Source organism: Homo sapiens, chromosome 8, assembly GCF_000001405.40.
Source record: "Homo sapiens chromosome 8, GRCh38.p14 Primary Assembly".
Classification (NCBI taxonomy): domain Eukaryota; kingdom Metazoa; phylum Chordata; class Mammalia; order Primates; family Hominidae; genus Homo; species Homo sapiens.
Window position 1 is genome coordinate 29,216,728 of NC_000008.11, and position 19,155 is coordinate 29,235,882.

The window sequence follows — 19,155 nt, forward strand, 5'->3', positions numbered from 1 at the left end:
AAAAGATGCTTGTTTCAAATTATCTTATTTGGACTGTTGTTTTTCCCTTGCCTTCAAATAAAGTGGGCAGCCTGAGACTGGGCTATGACCTAGGGAAACCTATGTGACTAAGGCTAAGCTGTGGCGCAGGGCTGAAGCTATGTGAGCTTCAGGTTCCCCGTGCAAATCTTGCCTAGAGGAAACCTGCCCTTTCTCCATATCTGGGCCTGTGTCCATCGACGTATATTCAGTCCAAAAAAAAAAAAAACTTTGTCTTAAGTGCACTGTAAGTGTTAGGGAAAGAATACTTATTCCTCGTTCCTCATGTTTCCATGTGGAAGAACCGAAAGTAGTACTTCTGATGTCCCTAAGCTGTCTCACTCTACCTCTTAGTAGAGGATACGTGAACTATCAAATTAGTGGTACTCAAGAGAAGGAAATGAGTACACACAGGCTGTGCTCCCCCACCCTGTAGAGGAGGCCTGCAACTGTCCGGCCTGCCTGTGCCTGCTAAGTGTGTCACTCAAGGGTGAGGGGTCAGCAAGCCTACTTGGCCAACAGACAGAAAGCCATTTTCTCTTACAGCTTTATCCGTAACTAAGGTGAAATGAGACAGAGGAAAACACAGTGGCGAAGACTGGGCTCAGGAACTGAATTGCCTGGTTGTGAATCCCAGCCCCACCACTTACTATGTGACCTTGGGCAACTAATCTAACTTCTCCAGGCTTCAGTTTCCTGCTCTATAAAATGTAGCCAACAAGAGAGCCTATTTCATGGGATTGCTATGAAGATTAGAACAGTGCCTGGCACATAATAAGCATTCAGTGTTAGTGTCTTTATTATTTATTTCTTCTATCTCACTGATCCTTGTGATAATCTCAGTTCAAAACTAGGAGGGGGAAGAAAGGGGAGCTGAACAAAGAGAAAGAATTTCTTTCAAAAGTAAGAGAGAACATCTTTTAGCTACAGCAGCAAGATGATGCAAATGTCTTATGTTACTTTTTGGTGAACTAGTTTGGAGAAAACTCCAGAATAACAGCAGGTCCAGAAGACAAAGCACTAAGGTGCCCAGTTCAAAACCTCCCCCACCATACTCCACCAACTAGAAATTAATTTGCAATGTCATGGTTTTTTCCAGTGTGGGGGGCTATCAGGACACCCCCCCACAAGATGGTTCATTATAATTTTCCATATTAATCAGCTCTATCACTCACTAATATTCAGTGTGAGAGTTTGGTGCTTTTCCTAAAACCACCTCTGCTCTCTACTTAGTATGGGTGTCAACTGATTCCCCTTTGAACATCTTAAACCTGTTTCCTACATGTGAAATACTCTACGTGTCTAGGGACATATAAGCACCGTTACACTGTGCTTATTGGATGGGATAAGAGAATTACAGTAATTAAGGATGAAAATACAAGGTTCCTGAACACCTTTAACATCTATTACATGTCATCAGCCACTTACAGGTGATCCTGCTGCCTCCACACCAGCTCCTGCAATGGAAATCCTCAGCACCTAAATTTAGCCCAGTGCCTGCCAAATTGTAGGCATTCAGTGAATGTTTATTGAAATCAGAGCCTAGGAATTAGGTTAACCATGACTACAACCTGTCTAAAAAAATAGCTTTCCTCATAAGCCGCACCTCAAATGTCCAGACGCCACTTTTCCTACGTCTGTTCTCTGTCAACATCTTGTCCTTGCTGTACTGTTAGACATGAGACCTTAAACTATGCATTTCCTTAAGAAACCATGAGCTAAAAATTAAAAAGAGACAGAAGATGTTAGTTTAAAAGTATTCCTCACCAAATCCCAGGCAACAGCTCTATAACAGCAGGTCTAGAGAACAACCAGAAGGCAGAAGATTCTAAGATACAGAGCTTTGGAGGAAATTAATAGAATGGCACGGCTAAGAATTTGCAAACAAAAATTTAAGAATATGCTAAAGACAGAACCAGAAAACACAAATAAAACTGCAGAAAAAACAAAAAGCTGTTAAGAGAGTCATGGATTATATAAAGCAAACAAAAACGTGGTATACTCTGATGCAACTGATGGGATTTAGGGAAAGATAATTTATTTCAACTTTATGCTATGAGCCATCACAGTGCCCTGCACTCAAGAGACAGCACTACAGCCAAGGGAGAGCCTGACAGGTGCTGGGCAAATCGCTCCTTGCTGAGAAAAAATAACAAAGCGTGGGCAAAGGGAAGGTAAAACATCCTCATATGCAACCTCTGTGCAAACACAAGTGGCGGCAGCCAGAGGCTTCAGTCAGCTCCTCAGAGCTTCCTAAGAAGTGCTCAGGAGTTGGAAGGTCATGTCTGCAAAGAGAAGAAAATCTGCAGACATGGCAAAGGCAGAAAAAGAAATGACAAGCTCCGTCCCTACTACATGGAACACAAAAAAGAAGTTCCAGGATCCCAACGCACCAGAGAAGGAGCCTCCTTTGGCCTTTTTCTTGCTCTGTCCTGAGCACTGACCAAAAATTAAAGGAGAACAACCCAGCCAATGCACTGGCGATGTTGGAAAGAACTGGGCAAGATGTGGAATAATAACGCTGCTGCCGATGCCAGGCAGACCCAAGACCAGAGGGCTGCTAAGCTGAAAGAAAACACAAAAAGTCTATTACTGCATATGAACTCAAGAAAAGCCTGATGGGGTGAAAAAGGCAGTCATCAAGGCTGCAAAAAAGCAAGAAAAGGAAGAGGAAGAAGAAGAGAAAGATGAAGACGAAAAGGAGGAGTAGAAAAGAAAATGAAGATGATGGGTCAGGCACGGTGCCTCATGCCTGTAATCCCAGTACTTTGGGAACTGAGACAGTTGAATCGCTTGAGCCCAGGAGTTCAAGACTAGCCTTGGCAACATGGTGAAACCCCATCTCTACAAAAAATACAAAAAAAGTTAGCCAAGCATGGTGCCTATAGTCCCAGCAACTCGGGAGGCTGCGGTGAGAAAATCACCTGAGTCGGGGAGGCAGAGGCTTCAGTGAGCCAAGATTGTGTCACTGCACTCCAGCCTGGGTGACACCCTGTTTCCAAAATAAATAAATAAATAAATAAATAAATAAATAAGGCAAGCCTCGGTGGCTCACGCCTGTAATCCCAACACTGTGGGAGGCCAAGGCAGGCAGATCGCTTGAACCCAGGAATTCAAGACCAGCCTGGGGAACATGGTGAAACCCCATCTCTACTAAAAATACAAAACATTAGCCGGGTGTGGTGGTGCATGCCTATGATCCCAGCTACCTGGGAGGCTGAGGTGGAAGGATCACATGAGCACAGGAAGTAGAGCTTGCAGTGAGCCGAGATCATGCCACTGCACTCCAGCCTGGGCAACAGAGTGATGACCCTCTCTCAAAAAATAAAAAATGAAATGAAAGTGATGATGATGAATAAGTTGGTTCTAATACATTTTTGTCTATAAAAATTTAACCCCCCTGTACACAACTCACTCCTTTAAAGAAAAAAACTGAAATGTAAGGCTACGTGAGACTTGTTTTTAAACTGTGCAGTATCTTCTTTTGTATAGTTAATGTACTACCCAATGTGTCTTCAGAGAGCCCTGTCCTGATGGTATTCCCAGTGGTCACTAGCCTTGCCTGGTACTCTACGGGGCTGTAAACTGGCATGGAAATTTAAAGCAGGTCTTGCCAGTGCTCAGGACAGCTAGTTACATATGGGGATGGTTGTTGCTTTTTCATCTTCAGTTGTCTCTGATGCAGCTTATATAAAATAACTGTTGTTCTGTTAACTGAACACTACTCAGTAACTGGCAAGGAGGGGAAGGCGACAGCTGGTTTGTTGACATTCTGAATGTTTCTAAGTAAATAAAATTTCTTTATTTAAAAAAAAAAGTCTATATTAGGACAGTCTCCATGAAACAGCCCATGGGTTTTGATAATAAGCCCACAGAGAAGGACGAGGAAGCCTAAGACACCCTTTGGTCTAGCACTGACAGAAAAAGATACATACAAACATACACACCAATGTCAACTTATGCATAAAGAAAGGTGGCTTGTAAAAGAGCGCAGGAAGGAGAAACACGGGGTCTCATAATGTTGGTAAGAAAAGAGTAGAGAGATAACGTTTAAGGTTGATTTAACAAGAAATATGAGTATCAATACGTTATGTAAAAACATCCCAGAAAATCTCAGTACTTTGGGAGGCCAAGACAAGTGGATCGCTTGAACCCAGGAGTTCAAGACCAGCCTGGGCAACACAGCAAAACCCCATCTCTATAAATAAATATATTTTTATATGTTAAAATTTAAATATGTACATACATTAACTGGGTGCGGTGGCATGCACCTGTAGTGTCACCTACTCAAGAGGCTGCTGTGGGAGGATCACCTGAGCCCAGGGAAGCTGAGGCTGCAGTGAGCTGTGTTCTTTTTTTTTTTTTTTTTTTTTTTGAGATGGAGTCTCACTCTGTCACCCAGGCTGGAGTGCAGTGGTATGATCTCAGCTCACTGCAACCTCCACCCCCCAGGTTCAAGCAATTCTCCTGCCTCAGCCTCCCAAGTAGCTGGGATTACAGGCATGTGCCACCACACCAAGCTAATTTTTGTGTTTTTAGTGGAGGCGGGGTTTTGCCATGTTGGGCAGGCTGGTCTCGAACTGCTGACCTCAAGTGATCTGCCCGCTTCGGCCTCCCAAAATGCTGGGATTACAGGCATGAGCCACCGCACCCGACCTGCAGTGAGCTGTGATCGTGCCACTGCACTCCAGCTTGGGCAACAGAGTGAGACCCTGTATTTAAAAAAAAAAAAAAAGGAAAGAAAAAGCAGCACAGAAAAGCACTGAAACTAATATAAAAATGAAATAGGAGAAGAGGTAAAAAGGATTGCACATATGAACTTAATCTTCTTCAAGGAGTCAATGAATATGTATCCAATATGATTTTAATATGAATCTTAATTATCCAAGGTACACATGTATCACCTAGAGTAATTGAAGTATTATTGCTCGTGTGCCCCAAAAGAATTTTGTGAAGCCTTGTAACTGCTCACACATTTTTAAGTCAATGTACAAGATTTTTCAAAATTAAGTTTGAATAGTTGCAAAGGATAATGCCCAAAATATTGTTTTTTAAACAAAATTCCTTTCAACATATCCATTGGTATCAAAATACCATAAAATTTGGTATTTGGGTATTTCATAATATTTTTAGTTTTTATATTCACTATCGATACTTTATAAAATGAAAAACCTCTTCTTGAATAGTCGGTAGTTTTCTATCTTTACTTTTTTCCATGAATTCATATTTCTATTCCACATTCCCCAAAGAATTTTGTTCTAATATAAATTCTTATTAATTAACCACTCTATCACTGTTTTCTATAAAAATACCTATATATGCCAGGCACAGTGGCTCCCGACTACAATCCCAGTACTTTGGGAGGCTGAGGTAGGAAGGTCGCTTGAGCCCAGGAGTTCATGACCAGCCTGGGCAACAATGTGAGACCCCATCTCTACAAAAAAAGAAAAAAAGAATTAGCTGGTCATGGTGTTGTGTGCCTGTAGCTCCAGCTACTCAAGAGGCCGAAGCAAGAGATTGCTTGAGCCCAGGAGGTCAAGGTTGCAGTGAGCTGTGTTCATGGCATGGCACGGCACTGCACTCCAGCTGGGTGACAGCAAGACCCCGTCTCAAAAAAACAAAACAAAACAAATAGTACTTTAACATCAAACATTATTTTGTTTTCTTTATTTTGGAAATGGGTCTCAATCTGTCGCCCAGGCTAAAGTGTAGTAGTAAAATCATAGCCCATTTTAACATTAAACTCCTGAGCTCAAGTCCCACACCTGACTTTTTTTTTTTTTTTTTTTTTTTTTTTTTTTTTTTTTTTTGTAGAGACAGGGTGTCACTATATTGCTCAGGCTGGTCAAATATTATTTTTAATCATCTTTCAGCTAAAGAATGAATTAGATTTCCTGAAAGCAAATAATGGAAAACTATATGGCTTACAAAAAGAGTTGTGATTCAGATCATAAAAGTCACTCTTTTTCTCAATTTCTTGGGTACATGCCAAAGACTTCGCCATAACTTTTCAAGTTAATTACACCTGCTACTGTTTCACTTAGTGGCACTTTGCTTAACCTGTTATACACAGAAGGGGTTGAGAAGACAAAACACTGTTAACTTCATTATACCTTTGACAAAGTAATATTATGTGACATGATGTGTTTTCCTCAAAATATTAGAGCTGCAGATTTAGCTGATTCAATTTATGGGACAATTTGTTATGTGATCTAACAATTTGACATATAATCTAGAAAGCAGCTTTATGATCAAAAATTGATTTTATATATATACATATAAATCTATATGGCTGGGAGCTATGGCTCACGCCTATAATGCCAGCACTTTGGGAGGCTGAGGCACAAGGATCGCTTGAGCTCAGGAGTTTGAGACCAGCCTGGACAACATGGCAAAACCTCCTCTCTACAAAAAAATACAAAAAAAAAAAAAACAAAAAAAAAAACTTAGCCAGGCATGGTGGCGCTCAAGTCCCAGCTGCTTTGGGGGCTGAGGCGGGAGGATTGCTTGAGCTCAGGAGGTCAAGGCTACAGTGAGCCCCGATCACACCACTGCACTCCAGCCTGAGTGAGAGAGACCCTGTCTCAAAAAAAAAAAAAACAAAAAAATCTAAATCAAACATTTTCTGTACAAGACAACTTGGCCTCATTTTAAAATTCAAACAAAAGTTTTAAAAGCCACTTCACAGAGAACTAGATTATAAAATACATCCTGTAAGATTACTAAAAGTAACCAAGGGCGAATTTGAATTATGTATATCTAACAATTTAAATGGATAAAAGATAGATCAATATGCTATTTCTTAGTAATTAATCTGCAATAAAATTTAACACGTAACTAAAATTAGCAGCTATTAATAAAACAAGCCAGATGATAAAGATAGTGTATTCCTCTGGTTAATGTATGTTATTAAGTAATCCAACTCTGGTATATTGTATTTTTGAAAATAAATAAGAATGAAAAGGAATTCTATCAATTTTCTTTGAGACAGGCTGGAGTCCAGTGGCTTGATCTCGGCTCACTGCAACCTCCACCTCCCGGGTTCAAGTGATTCTCCTGCCTCAGCCTTCCGAGTAGCTGGGACTACAGGCACCTGCCACCACGCCTGGCTAATTTTTTGTATTTTTAGTAGAGACGGGGTTTCACTGTGTTAGCCAGGATGGTCTCGATCTCCTGACCTTGTGATCCGCCCGCCTCAGCCTCCCAAAGTGTTGGGATTACAGGCGTGAGCCACGGCGCCCAGCCTACCAATTTTTTTTTTCTTTTTTTTTGAGACAGAGTCTCTCTCTGTTGCCCAGGCTGGAGTGCAGTGGTGCCATCTTGGCTCACTGCAAGCTCCACCTCCTGGGTTCACGCCATTCTCCGCCTCCCGAGTAGCTGGGACTACAGGCACCCGCCACCACGCCCGGCTAATTTTTGTGTGTGTGTGTATTTTTTTTAGTAGAGATGGGGTTTCACCGTGTTAGCCAGGATGGTCTCGATCTCCTGACCTCGTGATCCACCTGCCTCGGCCTCCCAAAGTGCTGGAATTACAGGCGTGAGCCACCGCGCCCGGCCTCAGTTTTCTTAAACATCAATACTGGGCTTTTTCCCTAAGTATTTAATAAAAGAAGAGAGTATATAGAAGTGTAAATCACTGGCCGGGCATGGTGGCTTATTTATTATTAACTAACAAGGTCTAGCATTGGGAATAATTGCTTCAACTTCAAAGTTGTGTTGAATGTAAACATCTAAAGATATTTGTAACAATGAGAATGTGATACGAAAACAGCTGTGATTTGTATTGGTGACAAAGTCACAGGTACTGCTAATACTATAATTCATTACCTATGTTAATAATTGAAGGAATCGCTAAATTTCATTTGTAAGTTACTGAGAAATAAAAGTGTAACCTTTTCCCCATCCGTGTTTATAGAACCCCCCCCCATTCATTCTATCCACGTTAAGAATCCCTATTCTAGAGCATGCATCCTTGATTAGAGGTGTTCATATGCTACCTCATCCACCCTGGAGTGTGTACGCGTAATTAGGATATCAAATGTTAATTAGTTATTCCTATGTGTGGATTAAAACTAATGCCTGCATCTATATCACTTTTTTGGGTATAATTTAATAGGGATGATGAGACTTCTGTACAAATGAATACAAACAGTGAGGACTTATGAGGAGTTCCAAAGGGGTAAGCCATGAAGTGCAATGCAGTTATGCTGAAGTATTTTAAAGACACTGTAAGAGGATCTGGCAAACATGAGTACAGTGATATGTGTTACAGCTGCAAGGAAAAAAGTGGAGAGAAGGAATGAAAGTTGTCATTACTGTTATTCCTTATTTAAGGTTGAAAAAGACATCACGGAAAGATATGTCACAAGGTCTTTGTTGTCTGTGGTTTGGAGTTGAAGCTGTTTCAGATAGAGAATAGCACGACAGTGTGGGAAGGCAGAAAGGCAGGGCCACATGTGGAGGACGGGAAGGCACAGAAGCTTTTTCCGCATGTGAAGGACAGACTAGTCCAGCCACAGTTATGAGCATTTTATGCATATTAACGCATTTAGTCCTCATAACAACCCTATTATTTGCATTTTACAGATGGAGAAATAGGCATAGAGAGATTAAGTAACATCCTGAGTCAAAACTAGGTCTGTCTGGCTCCTCTGGACTCAAAACTACTCAATGCAAGATTGCGCTGATGCTTAGGTGGGAGCGTGACTGGAGATAGGAGATCAGGTCAAAGGCTGTTGAAATGATGCTGGCGAAGATACAGTGGAGGTGTGCCCTGCCTGCCAAGCATCAGGAACAGGTGAAAAAAACTTTCCAGCCTGGAAATCTAAACATTTGTTTTTAGACTAGACAGTATCCACAAAATAGGGAATAAAAGTTCAGTGTTTCTAAGCAGAGATTTTTACCAGCAGTTTTAAACCTTCCTGTGTCTGGCTGGATCGATTCCTGTGTTACCAGCGTCTCTCTCCAACTAAAGAATGTTCGTCTGGGCAGGATTTTATTGTAATCACCAGCTAATGTTTACACTAAGCACCACCTTAGTCCCCTGACTAGATAGGAACACCAGTAATACAGTTTCCAAATGTTCAGTACATGGTGACTAAGCTCACAGTTGTCAGATGCTTGCACCAGATAGCAGCAAAGGAAACACTGACAATCTGGCCCATTTGCTAGTAGTTTGCAAGAACTCAAGGGTGAAGTGAGAGGGAACGTTTAAGGTCAAGAGCATGACTGCCTGGCATATAAGTAACTAGGGTCTGTAGCTCTTCACATTATAGATGGAATTTCAGATGACTGGAGTTAAATGGAGGTTTTATGAAAACATACCTAACCTACCTTCTGCATTGAATACATGCAGGATCTAGAGACGGATTGATTCATCTTTGATGTAAAATGTAACACCTGAGTAATTCCCAACTTCCTGGTTCCAGGAAAAGAGAGAAGGTCCTGGCAGCACAGTAAATTCTCTAATAAACAGATTCAAGAGACCATAAAAGTAATTTGAACTTACATGACTGTCTGGCATGAAAGTAACTAGGGTCTGTAGCTCTTCACATTATAGATGGAATTTTAGATGACTGGAGCTAAATGGGAGTTTTATAAAAACATACCTAACTCACCACCTGCATTAACAGTCAGCTGGTTCCTGGTCCAAAAGCTTTTTACTGGGCGGGTTCAGATTCAGCTTCTGGCCTTGTATTTGTAGCATGGGAGCCCTTCACTTGAAGGTCATTGTTTAGGAGCCTGTGAGTAGGTGGCCCGGAAAGCCCATGGGTGTCCGCTCCCCAGACACTCACCCATCCAACCCTTGGAGCAATTCCATCACTTTCCCAGGCCCAGGAGAGGTGTCTCTTTATCTAAGTTCTCCAAGATTGCTGGTCAGAATGATTTAACTTACCAGAAAGCAGTGAAGATCTTAAGAACAGTCAAGACTAAATGTTAAAATTTACACCCGCGTGGTCTCTGACATGTGTTCTTCTCTGCATCCCATGTTTCACTTCCATATTTTAAATTTTCACTTTCATTTTGACAGACTAATGGTCTGATTTAAGATATAATTTCTTAGCAAATAGCTTCTGTTTAAGTTTCGTTGTTAATTGTAGCTAAAGTGTAGATTTCCAAGTTGGAAAATGGAAGCAATTATTTTCATCTGTTCTTAATTTATTTATATTCTGCTCAAGGTCATCACCAAGGTCTGACTGCAAAAATTGCAACCTCAGGCATAAATGGGTTAATACTCACCCCTAAGACAGGCCATTAATTGGAAGGCAAAGTACTTTGAAATAGCTAAAGAAGGATGACCAATTACTCTTTTAGGATGCATCAGCTATATGCACAGATACATTTTTATACCATTTCTTTCAGGCTTTTGATGTACCTTATTCAATAAGGATTCAATAAGGTAGTTAACCTATTTTTATTAAATCACAACATAAAATACTTATTTCAATTATAGTCAATCCTCATCTCAAGTTATGAAATATTTAATATTTTCTGCCACTTATTAATAAAAAGCATTTTATACTAACTGCTACAGTGGTTTACACTTTATTTTTTATTTTTTGAGATGGAGTTTTGCACTTGTTGCCCAGACTGGAGTGCAATGTCATGATCTCAGCTCACTGCAACCTCTGCCTCCTGGGTTCAAGTGATTTTCCTGCCTCAGCCACCCAAGTACTTGGGATTACAGGTGCCCACCACCACACCCGGCTAATTTTTGTATTTTTAGTAGAGATGGGGTTTCACCATGTTGGACAGGCTGGTCTTGAACTCCTGACCTAGGTATATTTCAATACGTATCTGGTTTCCTTGATAATCCTATGTATTTTATGTTTTTGAAAGATTATTCTGAGAAGGAGTCCACATGATTTATCAGACTGTCAAAGGGTTCATGACCAACAAAAGGTTGCGAATTTCTGCTCCAGGCTGGCAGCAGCGGCTCACGCCTGTAATCCCAGGGCTTTGGGAGGCAAAGGTGGCAGGATCACTTGAGGCCAGGAATTCAAGACCAGCCTGGACAACATAGAAGGACCCAAAAATCTACAAAAAACTTGAAAAATTAGCTGGGCATGGTGGTGCACGCCTGTAGCCCCAGCTACTCAGGAGGCTGAGGTGGGAGGATCACTTGAACCCAGGAGTTCAAGTACATGATGAGCCATGATAGTGCCACTGCATTCTAGCCTGAGCAATAGAGCAAGACTTTAAAAAAAATTTTTTTTAAGTCTGCTCTAGAAGCTGTGTTTAGCGCCTTCAGCTACCTTTCTTTCCTGATCAACACTGGAAATTTTTTTTATAATTTGGTTTTTTTTTTTCCTTTCAAAGTACATCATTGGGCATGAACTGGAGGGCTTGTTAATTAGCAAAAGAAATGTTAGAAATAATTTTTCACTGGTAAAGTGCATAGTGTTGAAAGTGTGACTAAAATAATGACTAAAAATATGGGCCGGGCTCAGTGGCTCACGCCTGTAATCTCAGCACTTTGGGAGTCCGAGGCAGGTGGATCACAAGGTCAGGAGGTCGAGACCATCCTGGCTAACACGGTGAAACCCTGTCTCTACCAAAAAAAATAGAGAAATTAGCCGGACATGGTGGCGGGCGCCTGTAATCCCAGCTACTCAGGAGGCTGAGGCAAGAGAATAGCGTGAACCCAGGATGCGGAGCTTCCAGTGAGCCAAGATCGCGCCACTGCACTCCAGCCTGGGTGACAGAGCCAGACTCCATCTTAAAAAAATATATATATATATATATGAGATACAGGTTCCTCCATTCTTAGGACAGCAAAGTATAAGACTAACAAACCTAGCATCCTGTTCCCTGTCATTAGCTAGGGCTCTATCCAGACTTGAATTCAGATTCTATTGCATAATTTTGATCAAAAGAGTACCTGAATCCTGCTACATCTGTCTCAAGGGAAACTTCTGGGGAAGGTGCTTGTCTGAGAGCTGTGGCTTCACTGAGCTTACAGGAACAGGTGGCATGACCAATGCTGTGGCTGCTTGCTAATAAAGATGCAGCAGAACCCAGTCAAAGTTTCATTGTAACACATCTCCTGGTGGTGTGATTGGGCAGGAGAAGGCCTCAGGCTCTCACCTAACTCTAAACATAGAAGGTTGTTAATATCTTGTTACAAATGACCAAAACGGCTTAGATCAGTTCATAACACTCCCACAAGACTAATAAGGACCATGAAGGCTGGAACCAAATTCTCTTTTGTTTATCAGTGTTTTCTTAGGGTCAACATCCTGATAAACACACAGAGGGCACTCTATGGTTGTTGAATGAATTAATGAATATGATACACACTTAGCTGTATGTGGGTTTTTCCTAACTCCAGAATGTCAGCTTTAAAAAAAAAAAAAAAAAAAAAAAGCATGTCATATTTATCTTTCCCTTATCAGGACACCCTTCTGGAGTGATGTGTATCAGATGTCAATCAATAACTGCTGAATGTCTTTAGTTCTGATCTAATCTGAATTAACCAGTTACATTTTTCCAAATGTTTAGAGAAGAAACTCTTCTGTAAAATCTTAGAAGGCAATGAGAAGCTGTGAGCTCATCTAGTTTTGGAGAGACGAGCTTAGGCAGATCTGAGTTCAGATCCCTGTTCTGCCACTTTCTGATCATGTGACCCTGGGAAGCCTTGTAACACCTTTGAGTCTCATTTCCCTTCTGAAAATGTTGAGATAACAATGTGATGCCTATATCGTTTGTTGTAAGATGTCATGAGAACTTATACTCTTGCAAAGGATCTAACACAATATAAACAATACTAATGCCTATAAATAAATGCTGGTTGTCATCAATGAGAAGATCCACAAACTAAAGTCTCTATTCACTTCTTGTATTTCCAAGAATGCTGTGCTGGCTGTGTCTGCATTACTGACACCTTCTAAGCATTCAAAGACCTTGACCACGGAGTTCCTTTTCTTATGATAATGATAGTTCAAGAAACCAACTCTGAGCAATATTATGCAAATTGATGCTCTTCAGAGGAAACCCACAATCCCTTAAATAAACATCTTACAGTTGCTATCTGGGGCATCAAGAAACTACACTTAGATCTACAGCTTAAACAGCTATGATTATTGTCAATTAAAAGCAAAAGGGCATCATTTGTTATTAGAAACCTGGTATTATAATTGACTACATGTCTAACCCAGTTAATATTTATTGAGTACCTACCATATATGCCAGTGTTATTTGAAAAGAATATTACTTAAAATATGATGTTTTAATAAATAAAATTTGTTTAAGAGAGTTGACAAGAATAAATAAATCAAGGCAAAATAGCAGCTACCACCTACTAAGTAGGTACCATGTACCAGACATTTTACATAAATAACTCACTCATGCCCACGGTAATCTTGCATGATCCATATCACAGTGTTATCACCTCCACTTCATAGAAAAGGAAACAGAGGCTCAGGGAGGTGATATAAACTTCCAGATTTACACAGCTGGTAAACAGTAGGCCCAGCACTCACACCCAAGTCTGAGTCATGCTTCTCTTCAACCAACTCTTGCCTTTCCCATCCCCAGACACAGTGGTAATCATTAAACTCCCTCGCAGCACCTCTGTTCTGCAGCTTTGCTACTGCTTACGGGGTTGATCAATTTAAAAATTAACCCAATCTATAAATTGGCCTATCCTCTTCCTAATATTTAAGTTCAGTTCCTTACTATCCATACCAAGTTCTGGGGGGCAAAGGGACCAGACAGGCCCAAAAAGGCCAGGTCAACGGACAGCCAGCTCAACACACAGCAAGAGAATCCCTGAGGACACAGACAAGGGCATGCGAGAGGACGTCTTAGTGTGGATTCCTCAGAAAGCAAAGACCAAGGCTTCTGTGGGAGTGTATCCCAGGCAAGGAGGGAAGGGAGTGAGCATGAGGAAGTGTCAGATTATGAGCACGTGAAGCTGGCGTGAGCCCAGACTGAGCTGGCAACAGCCAGGGTTGAAAAGTGATCAAAGGCTCCAAGGAGAGGTGAGGCCAAGAAGACCTGAATCAGCACCTGCAAGGGGTCTGATATGGGGCAGAATGATGAAAGCAGAATCTGAAACCCTAAGTAAAGCTTCTGGAAATGGCAAGGCATAAAGTCTTGGTCCAATGCCAGAGTGTGACCTAATATTTTGTTTTTTGTTTTTGTTTTTGAGACAGGGTCTCACATTGTCACTCAGGCTGCAGTAGTGCAATCACACCATCACGGCTCACTGCAGCCTCAACCTCCCCAGACTCAGGTGATCCTCTTGTCTCAGCCTCCCAAGTAGCTGGGACTACAGGCATGCACCACCATGCCCAGGTGATTTTTTTATTTTTGTAGAGACAGGGTTTCACCATGTTGCCAAGGCTGTTCTTGAACTCCTGGGCTCAAGTGATTTGCCTGCCTCAGCCTCCCAAAGTGCTGGGACTGCAGGCATGAACCACCACGCCCGGACGTGTGACTTACTCTTAACCAGTCTCTGTCCCCCATCCTACTTTTAAGCATCCTTCATGATGTAAATAGATGAAGGCTACCATACGGGTTCGGCCTGATAAATCTTACATTCAGAGAAGGGATTTTCCCACAGTAGGGTTTTCCTATACTACTTATATAACTATATTAAAATGACTAACACGAAATCATACCAAATGTGTATGAAACGTCTGGCTCCTCCCACTGTGTCATATTATACCCAATCCCCCAAAGAAGAGGGCAGGTGGCAAGTGTGGCCATGACTGGCCGAGTGACTAAGGAGGGGTAATCACTGAACAGGCCAAGCGTTTTGGTTACACACAGGTTTCTGTTGTGGTAACACTGGATGAGAATGAAATTGAGCAAGGAAGCTTCCGTGCTCCTTACATGTGACTAAAACACCAAGTCAGCCAATCTTCTCTGGAAAGGAATATGTAATTAACAAAATAATAAAGAGCAATGATAAGAACAGCAGTTACCATGTACCGATTCTTATGACAGTTTGCATTTCACAGGTAAAATTTATTTTTTAAAACACAGTAATTTTGTAGCTGTTTATATCCTCTAAAAAAAAAAGGAAAAAGGCTTGCTTTAATGGAAATGTACATATATGTGTATATGTAAACAAAACAAAGAACTCCAATCAAAACTTCTTATGCATTACAAATTCCACTTCCAAATTTTTTTTTAAGAATTATAAAGAACCTGTAAGATTCCAGCTACATATTCCAGTCTGTCCCTGGATCATGAAAAAATAATTTAAAAGAAATTAGAAATATCTGGGTGCAGCTGGTCATGCCTACAATCTCAACACTTGGGAGGCTGAGGAAAGCTAATCACGTGAGCCCAGGAGTGTGAGACTAGCCTGGGCAACATGGTGAAGCCCCATCTCTACAAAAAACACACAAAAATTAGCAGGGTATGGTGGTGCACACCTGTAGTCCCAGCTACTTGGGTGGCTGAGGTGGGAGGATCCCTTGAACCTGGAAAGGTTGAGGCTGCAGTAAGCCATGATTGCACTACTACATTCCACTCCAGCCTGGGCAACAGAGTGAGACTCTGACTAAAAATAAATTAATTAATTAAAAATAAATAAAAATTTAAAAATAAAATATATATAGGCTTGGCACTTTGGGAAACCAAGATGGGAGGATCACTTGAGGCCAGGAGTTCAAGACCAGCCTGGGCAACCACAGCAAGACCCTGTCTCTAAAACAATAAAAAATAAAAAAAATTAAAAAATAAATATATATATATATACTTATAAAGAAAGATTCCAGCTACATAAAAACTCAGAGATCCCGAAATTTGAATTTATACTTCCAAGTAAAAACAAAAATAAAGTTAGTCTTGCCATCCTTTTCTCCCTCACAGTGACCACATTCTGCTGACATTAGAAATTTTACAGTTTTCTTTTTTTTACTTAGGAATATTTTTAAATTTATTACATTACTGTAAACTTTCTGACAAATTCAAAATTAAATAATTCCAACTTGTTCACGGTAAGCACAACAGTGATTTGTCAAAGGCTTCTTGCTTTTTCCAGGATCCATCATAGATACTTGTTTCTGCCTCTTCTGTCCTCTTAATATCCTGGTAGACACAGAGACTCCATAGCACCCATACCACTGCCCACTCTCTCACCCCTCCAGCACCTGAAACTCATTTGAAAGCTTTCAGCTGGGGGTGGTGGCTCACGCCTGTAATCCCAGCACTTTCGGAGGCCAAGGGGGTGGATAACTTGAGGTCAGGAGTTCGAGACCAGCCTGGCCAACCTGACAAAACCCTATCTCTACTAAAAATACAAAAATTAGCCGAGCATGGTGGCATGTGCCTTTGATCCCTGCTACTCAGGAGGCTGAGGCAGGAGAATCACTTGAACCCGAGAGGTGGAGGTTGCAGTGAGCAGAGATCATGCCACTGCACTCTAGCCCGGGTGACAGAGTGAGACTCCATCTGAAAAAAGCTTTCTAAAAAATCCCATATGACACCAAAATTCCATCTTGGTTCTTCAAATCCTGTTCCCACTGTTTATCCACAAACCCTATCAATAGCAAGAGAACAATCAGAGAGGTTTAGAACCAGGGAATCCTTGCCACCCTAACCCCAAAAGGAGAGGGAATAGTTACATTTCTTGGCATTCTAAGCTGGAACGCTGAACTTATAGAACTACTTGCTCAAAATGTTTTAGTTAATAATGGTAGGCACTTCAGAAATACCACAGGTAAATAAGCATCTGTAGCAACCCAGGGATGACTTACACATTTACGTGACATTGCTTATATGGGGAAAAATGTTATAATGTTCTAAAATTGCGGTGAGTACCTCAAACAATTTTAATTAACCTGTGCTAGCACATTATCTAGATCAGAGATTCTCAAATTTTTTGGTATCAAAACCCCTTTACACTCTTAAATATTAGTGAGGGCAATAACAGCTTTTGTTTATATGGGTTATAGCTGATAGATATTTTTTGAATTAGAAGCTGAGAAATTTTAAAAATATTTTAGAGCCAGGCACAGTGGCTCACACCTACAGTCCTAGAACTCTGGGAGGCCAAGGTAGGAGGACTGCTTGAGCCCAGGAGTTCAAGACTATAATGAGCTATGATCACATCACTGCACTCCAGTGTAGGTGACAGAGTGAGACTTTGTCTCTGAAGTACATGTGTGTGTGTGTATTTTAATTCATTTAAAAACAAGAGTCATTATATGTTAATATAAACATTTTTAAAGAAAAATAGACAGTTAAGAGTTAGCACTTTACATTTTTGCAAAATAATGTATTAATTTGAACACTACATCAAGAATATTTGGTAATTTATAAACAAAGTCATGTCAACAATTAGGGAATTCACATGGCTACACTTCTTAATAAGCTAAAGAAAAAACTGAGAACATGACAGATTCAGAGTGCAGAGATTGATGGTCTTGAAAAGTAATGTGAGGTCCAACAATTCCACTCCTGGGTCTATACCCAAAATAACTGAAAGCAGGGTCTTGAAGAGGTACTTGCACACCCATGTTCACAGCAGCATTACTCACAAGAGGAAAAAGGTAGAAGCAACCCAAGTGTCCGTCGGCCGATGAATGGATGGGCAAAATGTGGTTTATCCATACAATGAAGTATTACTCGACCTTAAAAAGGAAGGAAATTCTAACATGTGCTATAACATGGATGAACCTCGAGGACATGCTAAGTGAAATAAGCCAGACACAAAAAATAAATACTGTATGATTCCATTTACATGAGGTCCCTAGAGTAGTCAAAATCATATATACAGTAAAATGGTGGTTGCCCAGGCCTAGGGGTGGGAGGAATGGGGATCTCGTATGTAATGAGCACAGAGTTCCAGTTTTTAAGAAGAGTTCTGAAGATGAATAGTGCTATGGTTACACAACATTATGAATGTATTTAACACCACTGAACTGTATACACATAAAAATGGTTAAATGATTAATTTTCTTGTGAGCATTTTACCACCAAAGGAAAAAAAAAAAAAAAACTAGAGGAAAGAAAAAGTAATGTGAGCTTCAAAACCCAGGGCCAAGGTCAGGAAAGGACATCTTTTGTGACTGAAGCCAGTAAGAATCTACACCAAGGTTGAAAAGGAAAAGGCCTACAGGGGCCTGGCAAATCATAAAAATGACGGAATGGAACAGCTGGGAGCCGGAAGAGGGCAGAAAACCCAGTGTTGCCAGATTCAGATTATTTAAGAAACACAATGAATCTGAATCTTTATACAAAACCTGATTTTTAAATGTTCCAACTTCAGGCCAAACAAAACATATCTCTGGGTAAAATATGGACTATGGTGCCTGAGTATGCAATCTCTAATCTACACATTATAAACAGAATTGTTTAATCTTCAGGAAATTCTTCCCAATGGAAATTTATTCTACCGTATAATCCTAATATTAGATCACAAAGAAACATCAAACTTAAAATATAACCTAGCTCTATAATGGCTTAAAAAATAAAAATAAAATACAACCAATGAAACAGCATTGACACAAAAGATTGTCGTCAAAGTGACAAAAGCAAAACAAAGGCTGTGGTGCTTTGGGAGTCTAGAAAGGTTACAGTAATGCAAATGTCGTCCATCTGCACCGTCCAAGCAAGATAATCTATCTATCTAGTGGACAAGGACAGCCATTGCTAGAATACTGAACTCCACAGAGTGGGGTGGAAGAAGATAGCTCATCAGGTTCTGTTGTCTTGAGAAGTACCCTTCAGAAATTCCAACTCCAGACTTGCAAATCACCCTTCAAACTACTATTTGAGGGTAACATCAGAGCAGGAGGCCTTTGAGAACGAGCACTAACAGAACCACTGCAATCAATCAAGAGGCATCTAGTGCAGACCACCAAAGACCCAGGAAGAAGCCACAGTGGCCCCCACTTTCTAGCAGCCACAGCCTGAAGGGAAGGGAGTTTTCAAAATACATAGATAAAAGCAAAGCAGTACAAATATTAGAAAACAATGTGGGATAAACATATAAAAGATGCCACCTACGTAGTGGCATTTCTCAATGAGTAGAAATCATAAATGCTCTAGATTTGAAAGAGATTACAGGAAGCAGGAGCAGGCTTGAAGATCGGTCTGGTGACGGTGAGTTCCAGAAACTGGTTAGAAAGCTACGTTGTCATCTAAACACAAGGCAATGAGGTCCTTCCCTAGGGTAAT

The 19,155-nt window shown here is 40.8% G+C and overlaps 1 protein-coding gene and 1 pseudogene across 8 annotated transcripts in view, besides 2 other annotated features; one reads left to right on the forward strand and one right to left on the reverse strand.

Moving 5' to 3' along the window:
• The window catches only part of KIF13B (kinesin family member 13B), a 196,111-nt gene that overhangs the window by 149,450 nt on the left and 27,506 nt on the right, over nt 1-19,155 (reverse strand). The gene's annotated exons all lie outside the window — the stretch shown is intronic.
• On the forward strand, nt 2,178-2,745 carry HMGB1P23 (high mobility group box 1 pseudogene 23; annotated as a pseudogene).
• Nucleotides 12,735-12,784: an enhancer, noted in NCBI's record as "active region_27182". NCBI's record gives its function as "activates an Ori minimal core promoter by ATAC-STARR-seq in GM12878 lymphoblastoid cells {active_cell/tissue: GM12878}" and the evidence as "EXISTENCE:reporter gene assay evidence [ECO:0000049][PMID:35858748]".
• Nucleotides 13,461-13,620: an enhancer, noted in NCBI's record as "active region_27183". NCBI's record gives its function as "activates an Ori minimal core promoter by ATAC-STARR-seq in GM12878 lymphoblastoid cells {active_cell/tissue: GM12878}" and the evidence as "EXISTENCE:reporter gene assay evidence [ECO:0000049][PMID:35858748]".